At 39.1% G+C, this 23,058-nt stretch overlaps 1 annotated feature.

The window, feature by feature from the left end:
- Nucleotides 15,476-16,310: an enhancer, noted in NCBI's record as "OCT4-NANOG-H3K4me1 hESC enhancer chr14:57849692-57850526 (GRCh37/hg19 assembly coordinates)". NCBI's record gives its function as "activates a minimal SCP1, AML or CMV promoter by ChIP-STARR-seq in naive H9 embryonic stem cells {active_cell/tissue: H9 hESC(naive)}" and the evidence as "EXISTENCE:reporter gene assay evidence [ECO:0000049][PMID:30033119]".

Here is a 23,058-nt window from a genome sequence, read left to right on the forward strand (position 1 = left end):
AGGAGTCATTGATTCAGATTACAATGGGGAAATTCAAATTGTTATATCTATGTCTGTTTCCTGGAAAGCAGAGCAGGAGAGTGTATAGCACGGCTCCTGATTGTGCCATATGTGAGAATGGGGAAAAGTGAAATTAAATGAACAGGAGGATTTGGAAGCACAAATAAACAAGGTAAAACAGCTTATTGGGTGAATCAAATTATGGATAAATGTCCTACCTGTGAAATAACTATTCAGCGAAAGAAATTTAAAGGTTTGGTAGATACAGGAGTGGAAATTTCAATCATTTCTCTACAGCACTGACTGTCTGTGTGGCCAATTCAACCCGCTCAATTTAACACAGTTGGAGTTGGTAAAACCCCTGAAGTATATCAAAGTAGTTATATTTTGCGTTGTGAAGGGCCCGATGGACAACCTGGGACTATTCTACCAATTATAACTTCTGTACCTATAAATTCATGGGGAAGAGATTTATTGCAACAATGGGGAGCACAAGTTCTAATTCCAGAACACCTAGATCAAAACCAAAATTATAAAATATGTATCAAAAGTTATCTGGTCATTCCTCTCTTGGATTATTTCATCAAAATTACAGCCAGAAATTTGCCTGCTAGCTAATTTGTGCATTCTGAAATTCCTCTAACACATTTTGGAACTACAAAAGTGAATAGGAGCTGGTACCATTCCTTCTGAAACTATTCCAAACAATAGAAAAAGAGGGATTCCTCCCTAACTCATTTTATGAGGCAAGCATCATCCTGATACCAAAACCTGGCAGAGACACAACAAAAAAAGAAAATTTCAGGTCAAAATCCCTGATGAACATTGATGAGAAAATCCTCAATAAAATACTGGCAAACCAAATCCAGTGGCACATTAAAAAGCTTATTTACTATGATCAAGTGGGCTTCATCCCTGGGATGCAAGGCTGGTTCAAAATACACAAATCAATAAATGTAATCCATCACATAAACAGAACCAATGACAAAAACCACATGATTATCTCAATAGATGCAGAAAAGGCTTTCGATAAAATTCAACACCCCTTCATGCTAAAAACACTCAATAAGCTAGGTATTGATGGAATGTATCTCAAAATTATAAGAGCTATTTATGACAAAACCACAGCCAATATCATACTGAATAGGCAAAAGCTGGAAGTAGTCCCTTTGAAAAGCAGCACAAGACAAGGATGCCCTCTCTCACCAATCCTATTCAACATAGTACTGGATGTTCTGGCCAGGGCAATCAGCGAAGAGAAAGCAATAAGTATTCAAATAGGAAGAGAGGAAGTCAAATTCTCTCTGTTTGCAGATGACATGATTGTATATTTAGAAAACCCCCTTGTCTCAGCCCAAAGATTCCTTAAACTGATAAGCAACTTCAGCAAAGTCTGAGGATAAAAAAATCAATGTGCAAAAAACACAAGCATTCCTATACATCAGTAATAGACAAACAGCTAAATCATGAGTGAACTCCCATTCACAATTGCCACAAAGAGAATAAAATACTCAGGAATACAACTTACAAGAGATGTGAAGGACCTCTTCAAGGAGAACTACAAACCACTGCTCAAGGAAATAAGAGAGGACACAAACAAACGGAAAAATATTCCATGCTCATGGATAGGAAGAATCAATATCGTGAAAATGGCCATACAGCCCAAAGTAACTTATAGATTCAATGCTATTCCCATTAATTGACTTTCATCACAGAATTAGAAAAAACTTCTTCAAATTTCATATGGAACCAAAAAGAGCCCATACAGCCAAGACAATCCTAAGCAAAAAGAACAAAGCTGAAGGCACCACGCTACCTGACTTTAAACTATACTACAAGGCTACAGTAACCAAAACAGCACGATACTGGTACCAAAACAGATATATAGACCAATGGAACAGAACAGAGGCCTCAGAAATAACACCACACATCTACAGACATCTGATCTTTGACAAACCTGACAAAAACAAGCAATGGGGAAAGGATTCCCTATTTAATCAATGGTGTTGGGAAAACTGGCTAGCCATATGCAGAAAACTGAAACTGGACCTTTTCCTTACATGCATACAAAAATTAACTCAAGATGGATTAAAGATTTATACATAAGACCAAAACCATAAAAACCCATGAAGAAAACCCAGGCAATACCATTCTGGACATAGGCATTGGCAATGAAACACCAAAAGCAATTGCAATAAAAGCCAAAATTGACAAATGGGATCTGATTAAACTAAAGACCTACTGCACAGCAAAAGAAACTATCATCAGAGTGAACAGGCAACCTACAGAATGGGAGAAAATTTTTGCAATCTATCCATCTGACAAAGGGCTAATATCCAGGATCTACAAAGAATTTAAACAAATTTATAAGAAAAAAACAACCCTATCAAAAAGTGGGCAAAAGATATGAACAGACACTTTCCAAAAGAAGACATTTATGTGGCCCACAAACATATGAAAAAAAGCGCCTCATCACTGGTCATTAGAGAAATGCAAATCAAAACCACAGTGAGATATCATTTCATGCCAGTTAGAATGGTGATCATTAAAAAGTCAGGAAACAACAGATGCTGGAGAGGATGTGGAGAAATAAGAATGCTTTTACACTGTTGGTGGGAGTGTAAATTAGTTCAACCATTGTGGAAGACAGTGTGGCAATTCCTCAAGGATCTAGAACTAGACATACCATTTGACCTGGGGATCCCATTACTGGGGATATACACAAAGGAGGATAAATCATTCTACTATAAAGACGTATGCACACATATGTTTATTGGAGCACTATTCACAATAGCAAGGACTAGGAACCAACCCACACGCCTATCGATGATAGACTGGATAAAGAAAATGTGGCACATATACATTGTGGAATACTATGCAGCCATAAAAAAGATGAGTTCATGTCCTTTGCAGAGACATGGATGAAGCTAGAAACCATCATTCTCAGCAAACTAACACAAAACAGAAAACCACGTGTTCTCACTCATAAGTAGGAGTTGAACAATGAGAAAATATGGGCACAGAGAGGGGAACATCACACACCAGGGCCTGTCGGGGGCTGGTGGGCTAGGGGAGGGATAGCATTAGGAGAAATACCTAATGTAGATGACAGGTTGATGGGTGCAGCAAACCACCATGACACATGTATAGCTATGTAATAAACCTGCATGTTCTGCACATGTATCCCAGAATGAAAAAAATATATATGTGCATGAAATACTACTTAGTGATATCTATGAGACTGGTTTTGCTAGCTATAATAAATAATTCATGTAACATGATGTAATTAACTTTATTTTATACCTGGTAACATTTGTAATTTGCAAATGGATTTAAGCACCTGTTTTAGTATTAGACAGTTTTGAAATGTTTTACAATTTTATTACAAAAGCAATATATGATCACTGAAGAAAAATTAGAAAACAAAGACAAAAATAAAAAAATCCTTAATTTCCTAACACCTAGAGATAATCACATCACAATTCAAAGAATGTCTTTCCAGAACCTTTTCCATGCTAAAATATGTGCACACAAAAATGACTATGTACTTGAAAATTTTTCCTGATAATACATCATTAACAGATTGCCATGTTTATAAACAGAATTAGACTTTTAGAGCTAGAAGAAATCTTAAAATTACTTTAGAAGAGGATAACCAAAAAATGGCCCTACATATCACCACTCCTCCCTTGAATGCCCTTGATATTGCTAAGTCATCACAACGTTTGCTTGTAAAGCTCAGACATAGCCTCAAAATCCTCCTCAACACAATCCTACAGAAAACCACAACCAAAAGATTAATGTCGTCAAGCAAGTTGAAACTAATTAATTTTGACTAACCTAAACTAACAATGAAGAGTCAAATATTTCTGGACCACGGTCATACAATTAACAATATAAACTTCAGGCCCACAATGGCCCTCTGATATTTTAGGAATAACTTGGACACAGATCTCTAAACCCTGGCCCCAGTCTAGCTGGTTGAGCAAATGGTGACTTTCCAGAGCCTTTTCTGTAATGAGGAGAGTAAACATCCCCCCTGCAAATGTGCTTTGAAGTAACTTTTAAAAAGCTAAAATACTGGATTTGTATACGTTTTAAAATATTATTTTATGGAATATACCTCAAAATATTAATGTTAAACACTGAAATTGGAATGAAAATGAGTTTTTAAAAGGCAAAAGTATGAAATAATAATTAAGTATAGCTAAATTTCTATATATTCTTTGTGCTTCTCCACATTTATACAATGTGGCCATTCTGCCTCTACTGTAGCACACTTCCAAGGAACACAAGAACTTTTCTACTTAATATTTTGAATTTTAATTTTTTTTGAGACAAGGTCCCACTCTGTCTCCCAGGCTGGAAGTTCACTGGCATGATCTCAGCTCACTGTAACCTCCCCATCCCAGGTTCAAGCGATTCTCATGCCTCAGCCTCCTACGTGGCTGGAATTACAGGCATGTGCCACCATGCCCGGCTAATTTTTGTATTTTTAGTAGAGACGAGGGTTCACCATATTGCCCAGGCTAGTCTTGAACTCCTGGCCTCAAGTGATCTTCCCACCTCAGCCTCCCAAATTGCTGGGATTACAGACATGAGCCACTGCGGCTGGCCTGTGGCCAGATCTAAATGACCCTTTCCAGACACTTGTTTGTGAAAACCATCTAGGATTCTGAGCTCATGTGAGTCTCATGGTGTGTAGTTTGGAAATCTGACATAGAGGAATACCACCTCTACCCCTGGGTTTGGGGATTCTGGGAGAAGAAAACTATCTGTGCACAATTTAAATCTTCAGATTCCCAGATTCTTAAGGCAGGTAGGTGCCTGTAGCTTTCACTACGCTGTATCTACTGGTGTCTTTCAGACAATCCAGCTTGACATACTGCACTAGCAATGAATTGTAGCCTGGAATGCACATCTTGGAACTGAATTCTACCACTGCTACCAATTCAAGATAATAAATACTGCCCAGTAGAGTCAACACTACATAACAAGCATTTATTCAGCACTTATTTTGTGCCAAGCTTATTTTGTGCCAGCCTCTGTTTTAGGTTCTGAGGCTACAAAGATTAGCCACAGTTCCTAGCCTGAAGGATCTCACAGTGAAATGGGGAAGACAGACATAAACAAGATCATTTTTTCTACTCTGGGCTATTTCTATGTTTCGTACTTATCCCGTGGCTAAAGAAACAAGAGGTAATATTTATAAATCAAATCTGATCATCTAAGTAATAATCTATCTTCCCTTCATAATTTAACAAGTAAATTAGCCAAGTGTGGTGGCTCACGCCTGTAATCCTAGCACTCTGGGAGGCCGAGGCGGGTGGATCACCTGAGGTCAGGAGTTTGAGACCAGCCTGGCCAACGTGGTGAAACCCCATCTCTACTAAAAATACAAAAAATTAGCTGGGTGTGGTGGTGGACACGTGTAATCCCAGCTACTCAGAAGGCTGAGGCAGGAGAATCACTTGAACCCCGGAGGCAGAGGTTGCAGTGAGCTGAGATCACGCCACTGCACTCCAGCCTGGGCAATAAGAGCGAAACTCCGTCTAAAAAAAAAAAAAAAGACCAAGTAAATTGGTGTAAAATAGCAAGTTTTAAAATTTTTTTGTTCTTATTATACTCACAACATGTATTATTCATTTGTTATTATGTTATTTACTTATTATTTATTTTATTTATGACCTAGCTAGATAAAATGTGGACCTGGTAACACTGGTTATTTCAGAGGAGAGGTATTGTCTGCAATGGGCCAGAATGGAAAACCTTCATATTTATTCGCTTTTCTTGTTTGATTTTTACATGAAAATATATTATTTTATAGTTGGGGGGGGAGGGTTGGGGTTTTTTGTTGGGGGCACACAGGGTCCCACTCTGTCATCCAGGCTGGAGTGCAGTGGTGCAATTGAGGCTCACTGCAGCCTTGATCTCCAGGCTCAAGTGATCCTCCCACTTCAGTCTCCCAAGTAGCTGGGACTAAAGACTCATGCAACCATGCCTGGATAATTTTTTAAATTTATTTTTGTCAAGACGAGGTCTCACTATGTTGCCCAGACTGGTCTCAAACTCCTGTCCTCAAGTGATCCTCCCACCTTGGCCTCCCAAAGTGCTGGGATTACAGGCGTGAGCTCCGCACCCACCCCTTTTTTCATAGTTTTAAATAATAAAAGTATTATAAGTAATTTTCATTATTTCAAGAATAGTGTATTTTCTTAAGATCTTTTAAAATCATAAAGCAAACTCTTTAAGAGATTTAGCTAATGCTGAAACTCATGAATTGGTTTTTTTCTTATAAATCAAAACAGGCCTCCCCCACTCCCAGCATGTAGCATAGTAAGCATGTTTTGTGGTGATTTAACTATTTCTACAGTGCCAAATAGGTGTTAGAAATAGAAAAAGGTTTGACATATGTTTCTAACAACTTGTTAAAAGGGTTTTGTTGTACTGGACAGGCCATCTTTAATCATGCAGATAGTTTGTGGAGCTCATCCTATTCCAGGCAACTTCTTGAGGTTCATCTGAGTCCATGTCATCTCTAAGGGGCACAAAACTAGATGAAAAGCTGCAGTTGCATCTGATAGTGTCCTGATATACTGAGGACAAAAGCTCAATAGAATCATATAAAGTTATTGTACGGTGAGCAGCACTATCCTCCCATACTCTCCTTTTATTCATGTTTTTACAGGCTAATACTGGATACATCAAACCCTCAATATAAATGGGATACCAGAACAACAACAGCAATAAAAAATTAATAACAATGATAATAATGATAATACTGTATTCCTTACATGCAGAAAATATTGTGGATGACAGTAAAACAACTATAAGGTAGCTGGAAGAGGTAAAAAGATTGAGTGTGGAAATAAAAAGTTAAGAAAGGAATTTTTTTAAAGGTTTTAGCTTTATAACAGAAACAATACTGATACACATTTATAATCCACAAGGCGTAAGGCATCTAGATGGCTTATAGTATTTTTCCCCAACTTTTCACTGAGTCTGTGTGTGTGTGTATTTTTTATTTTCATAAGATACACATAACATAAAATGTACCATTTTCACCATTTTTAAGTGTAGGATTCAGTGGCATTAAGTACCTATACAACGTTGTGCAACCATTACAATTATTCATTTCCCAATCTTTCCCATTATTCCAAAGAGAAACTCTGTACCCGTAAATAATAACTTTCCATTCCCTTCTCCCCTCAGCCCCTGGTAATCACTATTCTACCTTCTGTCTCTATGAATTTGATTATTCTAAGTACCTCATGTCAGTGAAATCATACAATATTTGTCCTCCTGTGTCTGGCTGATTTCACTTAGCATGACGTCTGCAAGGTTGGTTCATGTAGCATTTTTAAGTACTTCATTCCTTTTAACTCGGAATAATATTCCGTTGTACATATATACCACATTTTGTTTATCCATTTGTCTGCTGATGGACATCTGGGTTGTTTCTACCTTTTGGCTATTATAACTAATGCTGCTATACATTTTTATTTTTATTTATATATCTATTTATTTATTTCGAGAGACAGGGTTTCACTCTGTCACCCAGGCTAGAATGCAGTGGTGGGATCGTAGCTTACTGCAACCTGGAACTTCCAGGTTCAAGGTCAATCCTTTGGCCTCAGCCTCCCATGTAGCTGAGACCACAAGTGTGCACCATCACACCCAACTAATTTTTAAATTTTTTGTAAAGACCCCCTATGTTTCCCAGGGTGTCTTGAACTCCAAAGCTCAAGAGATCCTCCTGCCTTGGCCTCCCAAAGCACTGGGATTATGGCCTATAAATGTTTATAACACTGCTGGGTAGCTGTTTCCTGCTACTTCATTCTCAAGTTACAGGACTTTGATGAGCGCATACATTAACTTCCTAGTGGTTTATTGTGTTTTTGCCAGGAGTGTTTGTAGGAGGGCACTAAGGAACCCACAAATTCAGAGGCTTTGACTAATGACGTTAACGCCTAGTGAAAGACAGAACTCTCCTAGGCTGAAAGAACACTGAATTTATATATAACTTAATAGGTATTATTAGTATATTTAAAGAAAGAATGTGTCGAGATTTGGAAGTGGCTTGTATAAAAGTGTAGAAAAAGTTGAAGTGGAAGATGCAATTTGAAGTTAGAGAACCTTGATATGCAGACTGTAAATTATAAGTCACTGGAACAGACACATGCATTTTGGAGACAGACACAGAAAATGATTACAGCATGATAATGCATATTTAACTAAACAGACAAAAAGGCCAAATTATAAACTTTTTAAACAAGTCTTTCCAATAATCTGCTTGATGGTCATGCCTCATCATTTCCTCCTAGCTCCCAGAACTTTTTTGTTCAGAGTTTAACGTAATAATTAGCTGTACAATTATTTGTTTAATGTTTCGCTCAATGAGGATAGGGATAATGGTTGTCTTTTGCATAGTGCCTGCTACATATAAACATGAGTCTCTTGTAAGTTTGGTTGCTCTAATACATTCAGATCACAACCTTGAAATTACGTGCCAATACCTGGAAAGTTAAAGCTGTCAACTCTAGGTAATCCACCAAAATAAAATTGTGTTATAGTAAAGTCAATCAAGCAGCCTTTCCTGGTAGACTTTCCAGCACGTTGGGCTTCTCTCAAACTCCAGCAGAACTCAGGATTGCTCAAGATAGGAAGATACAAAGATATGAAAGAAATTTTCATTGATATTCCAAAATGATCTCTGTGGAAATGTGCACAAGCACTTCATTTACTATAATGATTCCTTCCTAGCAAGATATTTCAAGATTTTAACCATTTTATCTAAAGTGGAAACTAAAATATAGATAGAATAATGCAAAACAAAAGTACAACATAGTTGGCAGGGCTCAGTGGCTCACGCCGATAATCCCAGCATTTTGGGAGGCCGAGGCAGGTGAATCACCTGAGGTCAGGAGTTCGACACCAGCCTGGCCAACATGGTGAAAACCAATCTCTACTAAAAATACAAAAAGTTAGCCAGGCATAGAGGCACACACCTGTAATCCCAGTTACTCAGGAGGCTAAGGCACGAGAATGCTTGAACCCAGGAGGCAGAGGTTGCAGTGAGCCGAGATAGTGTCACTGCACTCCAGCCTGGGAAACAGAGTGAGACGCCGTCTCAAAAAAAGAAAAGAAAAGAAAAAAAAAGTACAACATAGTTAATAGTTTTTTTAATGACTAATTTACCTTTTCACTCAGATTTTTCAACCAACTTAGAAACGATGATAATAGGGATGAGAAATTTACCCAAAGAAAAAACAGAGAATCCAAACAAAAAACAGAATACTTTGCTTGTTCTCAGAAAGTAGCAATGGCAGCTGGAGGAATAGAACTCATATGTCCTGGATTTCCAGTTTCAGGACTTTTCTTCCTCAAAGAAAGACTGTTTTGTGAACATGAAAGTGACCTGACTGAGCTATTTTCCAGTGCCAGCCATATTCCATATAGCAGAAATAAGCTTTGCTAAGCAACTCCCTCTATTAAGGTGCTGCTTCTCTCATTTGGCCTCCCAGAAAACCCATATCCTAACTCCACTGTTCAAATAAGACCCATCAGTTCAGATGCTGTCAATAACAGTACTGGACCTTCAGAGCTCTTTAATGAAGAGTTTTATGAGAATTAAACAAAAGTACTTTAGAATGACTTTTTTTTTAATAGTGGAGGAAGAAGCAGGTATGGTTTTCTACACAGTTAACATGAGCAAAATTCTCGCAGCATTCGATAAGTTGCTGTTGGTAATCTTAAATTTCTTTTCTTGAGGGACTGTGGAAAACCTCTGGCCAAGTGTAGCTTGGAAAAGGATGGCTATAATCTGAACTTTTCTTCTTGTAGCTCTAGCTAATGCTCTTTTGCATGTCCCACATGGTTCCCACACCTATATTTCATATTCTGATATCTGGGTTCTTATTTCCTTTAGAAATTTTCTTAGGCTGTCTTGCATAACAGCAAATATTTACAAAAAGTTTACCTTGTACCAGACGCCTGCTCTAAGCATTTATATGTCTCACAACAAACCTTATGAGATGGGTACCATTATAATTGCATTATACAGATAAGGAAAATCAGGCACAGAGAGGTTAAGAAATTTTCCAAAGTCATATAGTTAGTATGTGGCAGAAATTAGGGATTCAAACTCCATGCAGTTAACTACTATTCCATATTGCTTTTCTAAGTACCAGGTACTTGATCACAGAATTCTTAAGGCTCACTTTCACCAGCATGCTCAGAAAAAAGCCTATTTCTATTACCTTCCCTTTTTATTTCCTATGCTGTTTGGCACAGAAACTCCAAATTCGTTTGAGTTGCAAGAGAGCAATGAGAGATGGTAAGAAAGACTACACAGATACTATCTCTGTTATATCGAGATATATGTGATTTTGCACATACAAAGATGCTTGCAGTTGCCTTAAACCTACTATTTTTTTGTGCCTGTAATTTTTAGGACATCCTGAGCTGACTGAAATTACAATTCTATTAAAGTGTCAGGAAATTAAAGCATGTAAAACATCATAAATATTCCCCCTAATATTATAATTACACCATGCTCTTCCTTTAGCAAGTTACTGTTTATTTTTTAAAAAAATATTCTTGGCCGGGCACGGTGGCTCAAGCCTGTAATCCCAGCACTTTGGGAGGCCAAGGCAGGTGGATCACCTGAGGTTAGGAGTTCGAGACCAGCCTGGTCAACATGGTGAAACCTCGTCTCTACTAAAAATAAAAAAATTAGCCAGGCGTGGTGGCATGTGTGCTTGTAATCCCAGCTACTTGGAAGGCTGAGACAGGAGAATCACTTGAACCTGGGAGGTGGAGGTTGCAGTGAGCTGAGATCATGCCACTGCACTCCAGCCTGGGCAACAGAGCAAGACTCTGTCTCAAAATAAACTAAAATAAAATAAAAAATTCTCTTTCATTGATATTTAATGGATTATGCATTCCTAATCAGAAAAAAAATGAAACTACTTCCATTTTGAAAAATATGTATAGTAAATCCTGGAGAAAAAAAAATTGTGTCACCTATTTCCTTGTTTTTCCACAAATTAAAATCAGGCCATATATATATATAATGGATGCCATTTCTCAATGGAGAATAGATTCACTTTCCAGGATTAAAAAACAAACAAACAAACCACACACACACAACTCAACTACATGGCAATATTCATTGTGTGAATGTCAACACTAGATTTCCTTGACACTAAATTTTCTTGCAACTATTAATATAACTATTAATAAAAAGATAATACTTACTGACAAGACCTTACATTTCTTTTGTTGAAAATATCACAGTTGATTAAAAATGTTGAAATTTTTTATCTTATGCAAACATATTTTATTGCTGTGCAAGATTGCCCTCTTGTGTTTTCTCTAGTTAAGTCATTATTTTTTATTGATTTAATATTAGCTTTTAACTTTTCCATCTAAAATTAACTCATTACTAAATGAATTTCAAAGCCTTTTATTCCAAACCACACAGATCAGAAGTTAATATTAGTGTTATGGTTTGTGGTATATAGTGTACCTTTTTAAATATATGAACTAACTTATAAAATACTACGGCCTAAGGGTAAGAAAAAGCAGAGTCAAACAGAAGTAAATACATAAAGAAAAATTTAGAATAATGTCAAGGAATTCTAAAGCCCTGATACTAACTTCCTACATTAATGATACAGCCAATTAGTCTATTAGTATAGGTCTAGCTTAATATCTTTGCGGTCTATTTCTTCCTTTGCTTATTTAATTACTATAGGTATATAAAAACACAATAACATTCTTTATTGTTTTGAAATTTTTTCCTTGTGTATTAAATTAGCATTTTTCTTTTAAATATTGCCTAACTAAAACAAGTATTCTCATATGTTGTTAGTGGAAATGTAAATTTGGTACACTCTCTTTGTAAATTAAATCAGCAGTATATATTAAGAACCTTAAAAAATAATTAGGGGCCGGGCATGGTAGCTCACGCCTGTAATCCCGCCACTTTGGGAGACCAAGGCATGTGGATCACATGAAGCCAGCAGTTCGAGACCAGCCTGGCCAACATGGCGAAACCTCGTCTCTACTAAAAATACAAAAATTAGCCGGGTGTGGTAGCACGTGCCTGTAATCCCAGCTACTCAGGAGGCAGAGTCAGGAGAATCGCTTGAACCCTGGACGCAGAGGCTGCAGTGAGCCAAGATCACACCACTGTACTCCAGCCTGGATAAGAGACAAGACCCTGTCTCAAAAAAAAAAAAACCAGGTTTGCTTCTAGGAATTTTTATTATTATTATTATTATTATTATTATTATTATTATTGAGACAAAGTCTCGCTCTGTTGCCAGGCTAGAATGCAGTGGTGTGATCTCCACTCATTGCAACCTCCACCTCCCAGGTTCAAGCAATTCTCCTGCCTCAACCTCCCAAGCAGCTGGGACTACAGGTGCACGCCACCATGCCCAGTGAATTTTTTAATTTTTAGTAGAGACGTGGTTTCACCATGTTGGCCAGGATGGTCTTGATCTCTTGATCTCATGATCCGCCCGCCTCAGCCTCCCAAAGTGCTGGGATTACAAGGCATGAGCCACCACACCCGGCACTTCTAGGAGTTATCTTAAGAGCATAATCCTAAGCATTCAAATAATTTTATGCCTAAACTGCTCATCATAGCATTATTTATAGTGCAAACATTAAATAAACATTATAGTGCTGCTTTCCCTTCTGACACTTTATTATTTGGAGGAAGAACAAAATAGAGCTAGGCGATGAATTCCTTCACCATAACCTAAGCATGGTCCTGTGTTAGATTAGATTGGAATGCAATCATACAGTGAAATCTTTTGCAATGAATAGAATTTTAAGGTAATATTTAAAATAACACAAACTTTTAAAGTGCTATGATGTTAAGTTTAGAAAAATCAGGATATAAATGTGTAGGTATATGTGTATGTGTGTGTGTGTATCGTAGTAATCTAAAAGTAATCCTCCTGAAACTACACACAAAGACTAAAATGTAATGTTTCAAAATATTACTAGTGGTTGTCCTTTGGTTGTGGTATTATGTTGGGTTTTTCTTCATTTTTCACTTGTCTACATTTTCCATGTTTTTATGTTGAACATGTATTACTATTATAATAGATGAAATTCCCATGTTCTTATATTGGCAGAATTGAGGTACTGCTCCTCTTTATACAGATCAGGAATTCTGTGGGCTGTACAAGCTCAGAAAACTTCTCTAAAGAAAACCAAAGCTTCAGGCTGGGCCTAGCCAGGGCTCACGCCTATAATCCCAGCACTTTGGGAGTCCGAGTCAGGAGGATGAGGAGTTCAAGACCAGCCTGGGCAATGTAGTGAGACCCTGTTTCTACAAAAAATTACAAAATTAGCTCAGCATGGTGGTGCACACCTGTGGTCCTAGCTACTTGAAAGGCTAAGGTGGAAGGATCACTTGAGCCTTGGAGATTGAGGCTGCAGTGAGTCATGATTGTGCCACTGCACTCTAGTCAGCGTGACTGGGTGACACAGTGAGACCATTTCGAAATAAAGAAAGAAAGAAAGAGAGAGAGAGAGAAAGAAAGAAAGGAAGGAAGGAAGGAAGGAAGGAAGGAAGGAAGGAAGGAAGGAAGGAAGGAAGGAAGGAGAAAGAAGAAAGAAAGAGAAAGAGGAAGAAGGAAAGAAAGGAAGGAAGGAGAAAAGGGAAAGGAAAGGGAAGGCAAGGAAGCTTCAGCAATTAGCTCAGATACAGCATCCAATTGAATGGCTGTAGATAAGTGGGGTGCCCCTACCCCGCTAAAAGAATGGGGAAGGTCCTTTCCTTCCTGATACTTTCCCTCTTAATACTTTTTTTTTGGACAAAGAGCAAAATAGAGTTAGGTGATGGATTCCTTCACCAAACAAGTAAAAGAGCAAACAAAGCAACCATTTATTAAGTACTTAATGCATGCTAGGTTGGTTGAAAAGGGTCAGAAGCTAAATGTGATGCGAGGCTGAACAAAAAGAAGGATGATTACAGAACTTAAGCCATCTTGTAGGACCTCAGCTTACAGCTGAAGAATTGGTTTTACTTACTGCCTGCAATTTTGCAACAATCCTTCTTTCCCTTATCTCTCATCCCCACTGCCAACAGCAATCCCTTTTCCAGACTGCAGCAAGAATGATCTTTTCAAAGAGCAAATCTTCAACAGATTCCAAGGGTACCTTGGGATAAAATTTAACCCCCTTGGGGTGGCTGACAAGGCCCTTTGTGATCTGGTTTCAGCTCTCTCATCTTACAGGCATTCTGATCTTCCCAGGCTTCATTTCTGATATTCCAGCTTGGAATGACCTCCCCTGTCTTGTTTGTCTAGCTAACTTCTGCTTACCCTACATGTCTCAGATTAAATATTGCCTTCATTGGGAAACCTTAGCTGCCCTTGCCATGTGCATCCATTGTAGTCACTACTTTCTCTATCATAGCCCTTTCTGAATGTTACTTAAATCTCTGGTTTAATTGTCCTTCTCCTCATTGTGACTAGGATCTGTGATGGCAAGTGCCAAGTCTGTCCTGTTCCTCATGGTACCTATACTGCCTAGCAGGCGAGCAGCTATTGTTCATTGAATGAATGAATAAGTGGGTGATTAAGTGAGTTAATCTGACCATATTTAACTTCTCAAAAACTTTCTTTCTTTGAAGAGGTACTCTAATTGATGCAAGTGCATACCAAACTAAAGATGATATACATTGTGGGATGGTGGTAGTCTTGGGGATACTGTGAGTACTTCATTCAGCACTGAAGTCCTAAATCCTGTTCCTTGTTCATGGATACATAGTAGTCCCCCTCTATCCACGGTTTCACTTTCCATGGTTTCAGTCAATCACAATGTGAAAATATTAAATGCAAAATTCCAGAAATAAGCAGTTCATAAATTTTAGGATGCACACTGTTCTGAGTCACATGATGATATCTTACACCATCCCACTCTGTCCCACTCAGGATGTGAATCATCCCTTTGTCCAGCATATCCGTGCTGTTTGTGCTACATGTCTGTTAGTCACTCAGTAGCCAGCTAGGTTGTCAGATTGCAAAAAGAGTATATATAGCACACTATCCATGGTTTCAGGCATCCCCTGGGGACTTTGGAACACACCCCCTGCAGATAAGGGGGGGCTACTAATTGCATATGTGTGTATAGACTTTAAGGATTTCTGAAATTAGTTTTTCAAGTCCCTGTGGGAAAAAATAAACATCGTGATACATTGATGGATTGTTTTTAATCCTGAAAAAAAAGGCCTCTTCATCTAACAATAGGGGATATTCATTAAATGTTCATAAAAAATCTTTACAGACACCAGAAAACATTTGTATAATATTAAGGTTTTTAAAAGTACACAAATTACATGTGCAGAAAAAGCTGATCTCTCCTATATAAAAAGAAATGTACATCTATTTACATAATAAAAAGATTGGAAGTACATAAAAGTGTGTATTGTAATTATTTCTGAGGGTCATCTTGTGTAAAATACTTTTCTTTTTTACACTTTTCAGTGTTTCTCTGTATGAGCATGTAATACTTTTGTTAAAATACCAAGAGTTATATAAAAAAAAAATAATAAGATGAATTCCTTGATATGTAGGCAGCAGTTTCAAAAAATGTTTTAAGACTAAAGAATAGCCTAGAGGCAGTTAACCAATTGCAGTTACTTGAAGTGAATGAGGGGAGAGGCTAACTTGGGCTGGACCATAGAATTAACTCTTGAAATAGGCCATAAGCAGTAGTTCAGACAGCTGGTCAGGGAATGTCCCTCACCTTTACCACCTATCTCAATAGATCTAGGAAGTGGCTTTTTCTTTGCTTAACAATAGGTCCAGTGATAAGCAGAACTGCCCTCCTTCAAAGCTCCCTGAAGTGCAAAAAGACTAAGGAAGATCAAAGGAACCATTAGGCACTCCCTGAATTTCAAAGGTTTCTCCTATGGGAACTCTGAGAAGCAGCTGTGTGTTTGTACATTACATAGAAACTTCCATTACTGTGCATAAATATAACATGACAAATATCTTGGTCACTTTATCCTTTCCACTTCCTTACTATGGTTGCATTTTTGGGTTGACAGTTTTGTAAACACATTAAAATGAGGAACACATCAAAATATATTAGGAATGGAGATCTACATTCCTAATAGTAAGCACTATCCTATTCTTAGCATATCATGTTTGTCCTTTCTGAGCCTAGTTTTTAAAAGTCTTTGTTTCTATATTTTCTCACTCAGAGACAAAATAATGAAATAAACATTTTGTTTCACATAACTTGTGTTTTAATGCAATATTCAGGCATTACAAAATCATTTTCCTTTCCTGGACTGGCTTCACAGAATCAGTCCCCATAATGATGGAAAATGTCCCTTCACCAAAACATGTGATGCACGATGTAGTGAGCTAAAGCCAAAATAATTCAGTCAACCGTGTGTATGTAGACTGTTGTATTGTTATTGAACGCATTGCCTCAAAGTGTTCATTTTAATAATAAAAAATGCATCTGGGGCCGGGCGCGGTGGCTCATGCCTGTAATCCCAGCACTTTGGGAGGCCAAGGCAGGTGTATTGCTTGAGCTCAGGAGTTCGAGACCAGCCTGGCCAACATGGTGAAACTTCGTCTCTATCAAAAATGTAAAAAATTAGCCAGGTGTGGTGGCGCATGCCTGTGGTCCCAGCTACGGAGCAGGCTGAGGTGGGAGAATCACCTGAGCCTGGGAGGTGGAGGTTGCAGTGAGCTGAGATTGTGCCACTGCACTCCAGCCTGGGTGACAGAGCAAAACCCCTGTCTCAAATAATAATAATGATAATAATAATAATAAGAAGAAGAAGAAGAAGAAGAAGAAGAAGAAGAAGCATCTGTGATTATTTTAAGTAAAATAATCTTAAGACCCAAGTATATCATATATAAGATGAGAAGTTCTATATAAGTAAACTTAGTTAAAGGTATATACACCAAGAGTGAGATCTACATTCTGAAAAGGTATAGAACAAGATCAATCTTTCATTCTTGTATTCAAAATAATGTATTATGTATATACCAATAAAAAGAGGAATAAGACATAATTCCTACCCTTAAAAGACTTCTAGAAGAAGCAACAGAAAAACAACGATCACAGAAGTCTGCAGCACTCACAGAGTAGGTAGAAGCCAGTTTTGCGAGAGGTGGGGAGGTGTGTGTGGTGTGTGTGTGTGTGACAGAGAGAGAAAGAGAAGAGAGGGAAGGGGGGTGCATTATGAGGGGTGATGATTCCAGGGACCATCAGCACAGACACAGAGGCCAGAAATCATCTTGTACATTTTGGCAAGTGCAAGTTACTTGGTTCAAAGGTCATTCATTTATATACACAATAATTATTAATTGAATATTTTGGGTTGAAGCTGTGAATGGCAAGAAGTAACTGCTGCTTCAAGGTAAGATCACCAAAAGGGCTTTGTTTATGTAGTGAACATAAGTGGTTGCCTTAACAGCATCCACTCCACATTCTTCTTCCTAACACAAACCCAATTTTGTTTAGTATACATCCCTTTTCCACACACCCATACACCTCCAAGGAAGCTCACCTCACTCTTAATCTCCTTCCAGTGATTGACTCAGAAATAGCATGTGATATATTCTAACCAAGAACATAGCCAGAGAAGTTGGTTAGAGGTTTCTGGAAAAGTAAATCTGCGAGTTACTGAAAGCCTCTCCCTTCCTCTTACTGGGCATGAATAAAGAAGCACTTAGCCCCAAACACTTTTGGCAGCCATATTATAACAATGAAGGAAATCAGCATTAGGATGGAGCTGATTCTGTGAATGGAAGGAGAGAGACAGAAACTTGGGTTCACAATGATATCATGAAACAACTAATCCCGAACCTCGCTCTGCCTCTGACTGTCTCATTTCCTTATTTTTTTTTAAAGCCAGATTGAGCTTGTGGCCAAAGCACCCTAACCAAAGTTTAGATTTGATTATTAGGCTATGGGAGTCTCTGAAGAGATTTAAGCCAGGGAGTGACAAAATAGGTTTGTATTTTGTAAGGGTGGCAGTGGTAGAAATGTTGAGGATGGATGGGTGGGATGGGAGATCAGCTAACATTTACGGGGGCTTCCTATATTCTCTGTATTAAACACTTTACATATAATAATTCATTTTACCCTTCCAAAACCCTACAAGGCATGTAATATTATCCATATCCGATATGAGGAATCTGAAGCCCAGACACATTAAGTTGTCAACACCACACAGCCAGTAATTGGCAGAGCCAGGATCTGAACTCCAATTTTACTTAGATACTCCTTCATCCCCCAGCCACATACATCAGGAGAAGCTCACCTCATACTCAATCTCAGACAGGCCTGATTGACATAAGAGTAAATCCAGCCCCTTTCCAGTGTCTGGCTCAGGAATAGGCCAGTGATCCAATTCTGGTCTGGCTTCTGACCACCAATTCATAGGGTTATCATAAGAACTAAATGAGCTATTATTTATAACATGCTTAATACATGGGAAGACCACAATAAATGGTAGCTATTGTTATTATTAAAAGCTTCTATTATCAAGAACAACTGAGAAAGAATGTCCAAAGGAGGGCAAGAGAGAGTGGAGAAGCCAAGGGAAGAGTTTCTGGAAGGACACAGCAGGATGAAATGCCACGATGGAATAAAGTGATGTGAGAACTGGAAGAGTCTAGTTAGGACATAACAGGTGATTTTTTGCCAGAGTGTTGTTTGAAGAAGGGCTGAGATTGAAGCCAACCCACCAATGAAGAGTGAACCTGCACCTGAGTAGAGACAGTGGATACCTATTGCAGATTAGGAGTTTGTGGTGAAAAGGAGGCAGGAAAAGGATGGTAGTGGGAGAAATCTCTAAATGGGGCATGTTTATAAACTTTGAGGCAGTAGCTAGCAAAGGTAACATGGAAAATTCAGGAGAGAGAAACAATGATGGGACAGGTTCTAAAGGAGCCTGAAAGAGAAAGCATCAAGCCCACAGGTAGAGGGAGGTATTAGTCATGAAGAATTGATCCATCTTCCACCCTCTTAAGACTGGGAGGGAGGAGGTAAGGGTAAGTTCAGATACAGATGAACTTATAGGTATGGCAGTAGAAGGCACACCTATGAAATAGTTCACTTTTCTTAGTGAAATGGAGGCAGGGTTATCTGCTGAGAGTGTGAAGCAAGTAGTGGTTGAGGACAGTTGCTGTTGGATGAAGCTGGCCTTGGAGACAGGTTAAAACAATTCTAGACAGCTGAAGGCATAGCTAAATTAGAGACCAAAAATTTTTTGGCTCTAATATGTAGGAATATATGATTCTCTCCAACATGTCTCACCAGCCCAGGTGTATCTGTGAGAATCACCCTGACCATGTCTTCAGGCAGGTCATGAAGAGTTAGTGTGAGGTTGAAAATAATGGAAATGGGGACCATTTGACCACAACCCTCTCTGGTTCTTCATAGTCCTCTGAGGCCTCAGTTCTACAAACAAAATTGATGCCTACCTACAATTGGTACTGCCATCCACTACTGGCAAGGGGAAAGAAGTTTAAAGAACAGACTGTCATTCCCCAAATTCGAAGGGAAGAATCAAATTGTTAGTCTTTTACCTGGGCATCTCAGAGTGTTCTAAGATTACAGGTAATACAACAATATACTAATATTCATCCTTTGGTTAAGTTCTTCAGCTCTCAAATTTGATGTATGTTCTTTCTTTCATTCAAGATGAAACAAAGTTAAGGACATTCATTTTCAGGGCTTTATGTATAATAGATAGGATTAGTGGGATTAAGAACCACATGACATGTAAAATAAAACTACACAAATATTTAAATTATTTAGTATGTGTGCCTATGGCACATAACAATGTCATCCTGCTGTGTCAAGGGAACTTAAAGCATCTTTCCATTATTCATTCCCACAGTTACCTTTCAGGTAGGTACACAGCTAGGTTTTCTCTCTAAACCTAGCCAATAAGAGAAAAATGCCTCACTGTTAGAAAGAATTAAATAGAAATTTTTCTCCTTCCAAGCTGATTTCAATAAATTGCTTCAGGATGTTGTTTTAAAATTGCTATTGGTTATTTTAATTGATTTAATGAGAAGCTTTTTTTTCTTCTAAAAAATTAAGGCATGTTCTCTTCTTCCTCAAAAGAGAACAACAATAGTAAAAAAAAAAAAAAAAGAAAAAAAAAGAAAAGAAAAAATGGCTGTTGCTTCATAGGATATTACAAAACAATGAAAATATCAACTAACCACACAGAAGAGTATCACTGCTACACTCACCTTGCTCTGAGCCCATTCTTTCCTATGAAGTATTGCTCATGGAGGTAGTTGTTTTTTCAGAGTCTCATAATAGTAAATATGTCTAAAGCATTAGAGTGAACTAATCCTATTTCTATGCCTAAAATAGTGCTATCATCCTATCAAGTAAACATGAATCAAATAGAAAAGATTTCATAAGTTATAAAGGCAATTTTTTTTAGAGATGTCATCTGATTTAGAAGGCCAACATTGTAATTTTAATACTGGGATATAAAGAAAAATCACTGGGGCTGAGACATTAGAATTACCCCACTAGTTATTGAGGAGGTCAGAATTTACTTTGTCATTATAAGCATTCTAGGTTACTGAATGAGAGACTGGTGTACTTCAGTCAAAAAGCTTAACAATTTCCCTTTTATGTGTTTGATATGTGAATACAAAGTGACTAACATTTACTCCCTGGCCTCAAGAAGGTCCTTACAACTCTTGACTTTCTGAAAACCACTTTGAGACAACATCTGGTCAGCTCCTCAGTGTGACAGAGCTCAATGCCAAGTTGCAACACAGAAAGAACAGGAAGGCCTGCTGCCATTCATTCACTACAGTGAAGGTACATGCTTTTTAGGAAGGGCTTACATTTAAAAGTAAATTACTGAGAGGTATTTTTCTAAGTAAAATTCACCCTTAAACATCTCTTATGGAATTATCTGGTGCCTCTTGGGCCAGTTTTTCCACCATGATTTGAACAGATCATTGTTTCATTGGCTGACTACCCAGGTTACACTTAGAAACTTTGAAAAACATGTATCTTTAAACAATGTATGCACATTTGGAAACATGGTTTTGTTTTGTGCTTTTTAAAAGACAGAAAAGGGATCACGCTGTACTTATACATCTCATTTATATCCCCCACACATCAAGGTGTTTAGGAGGTTTTCAATGTATCTGTAGCAAGTTATACATTCTGAAAATGGCCACAGCAATATTTCTGGTCCCATATGCTCTTTGAGAACCTTGCCTCTCTCCACCAAGAGTAGAGTCTATTTCCCCTCCTGTCAAAACTGGATATAATTTTGTGTCTGCCTAGATACAATGCAGCAGAACTGACACTACATAACTTGTTTTTTGTTTCTTTTTGATGAGAGGGAGTCTCCCTGTGTTGCCCAGGCTGGAGTGCAGTGGCGCAATCTCGGCTTACTGCAACCTCCGCCTCCCGGGTTCAAGTGATTCTCCTCAGCCTCCTGAGTAGCTGGGACTACAGGCATGAGCTACCACGCCCGGCTAATTTTTGTATTTTTCGGCAGAGATGAGGTTTCACTGTGTTGGCCAGGCTGGTCTCGAACTCCTGGCCTCAAGAGATCCTCCCGCCTGGGCCTCCCAAAATGCCAGGATTACAGGCGTGAGGCACCGCACCTGGCTAGAGACTACATGACTTCTAAGGCTAGGTTATAATGGGTAATATGCTTCTGATTGACTTTCTCGCACGATACTTGCCGTGGAACCCAGCCACCAGGCTGTGACAAAGCCCAAACCAATCAATGCTAAAAGACCACCGGGAGAGGTCTACATGGACTAGAACTGAGGCCTCCAGCCTTTATCCTGCATCAACCATCAGCGGTGAAAGTGAAGTTTTCAAATAATTCTACTCCTCAGCCTTAGAGTCTTCCAACTGAAGCTCTACGCATAATGGAGTAGAGAAAAGCCATCCCAGTTGTGCTCTGTCTGGATTTCAGAGGCACAGAATCTGCGAGCATAATAAATACTTTATACATAGAGTTTAGATTACGGCAAAAAGTTGCAAACGTGTTCCGTCATAGAATTATATATTGAAAACGTCCATCTGCGGCACACCAGACCAGCTCTATAAATCAGGTTTTTAACAAAACCGAATTTGTTCAGTGAGCGGGTGAGTTACACTACCTGTCTCAGCTCAGACCTGCCGGGAGTCAATTGTGGACTAGAGCAGAAGGCGCCCAGCCACAAGCTCAAGTTCTATCCCCTTTGCACTCGATAGGCAGATCCCCTGGGAGGATCAGGCCACCTGTTTACCAGTGCTTCCTAACCTATTTGTGTCACAAGTTTAGGAGTGTGCTTCTTAGCCCTGGTCACTCTCTTTCACCACCTCTCTCTAACCCTTCCCCAGGTGTGCTAGCAATTGCCCAACACCTGTCAGTCACTTTTGCCTCCAATTTTACTGGGTGCGAGGAGCAGAGTAAGGAGGGAGAGGAAGAGGGCTGACTCCCTTGCCTCAAAGTGGCAAGGGCCAGCTGAACTTAATTCACACTGCAAACCACCACGTTTCGACAGCCATCCCCATATTTTCACAGCTCAAATCTTCCTTTCTTTTTCGGTCGGCTTCTCTGATTTGCTCCATTTTTAATCGCTCCTCCCCCATCCTCCTTGCCCCTGGTCAGGGCAAACATTAAACGCTGTGCAGCTTTAAAAGGGCATTTTTAGGTGACTTGTAAACGGCTTGTTCCACAGGCCCCGAATTGGCGAGATTCGCTACAGCTCGGAGTGCGCGGTAGACTTTAAGCAGGGAGCGCCTGCCCGGTCCATCCCTCCCCGGCCCCGCGTGGCAAGCACCGCAGGTTGAGGCGCCCCCAAACCGAGGAAGAGGGTTTGGGAGCCTGTGACTCCAAAGCCCTCTGCAACTTCCCGGCCCCACAGCCCCACCCACTAGCACGCGGCCTTCCCCGCAGCCCGCAGGAGACACCTTTGTCCCCGCCCCTCCACAGGTCACCTCCCTCCACGCCCCTCTCTCTTGGCCCGGGCAGCCGGCAGGCAGGGAAGTGTCGTAAAGCCAGGCCCAGGAAAC

The sequence above is a fragment of the Homo sapiens genome, chromosome 14, assembly GCF_000001405.40.
Source record: "Homo sapiens chromosome 14, GRCh38.p14 Primary Assembly".
Lineage (NCBI taxonomy): Eukaryota > Metazoa > Chordata > Mammalia > Primates > Hominidae > Homo > Homo sapiens.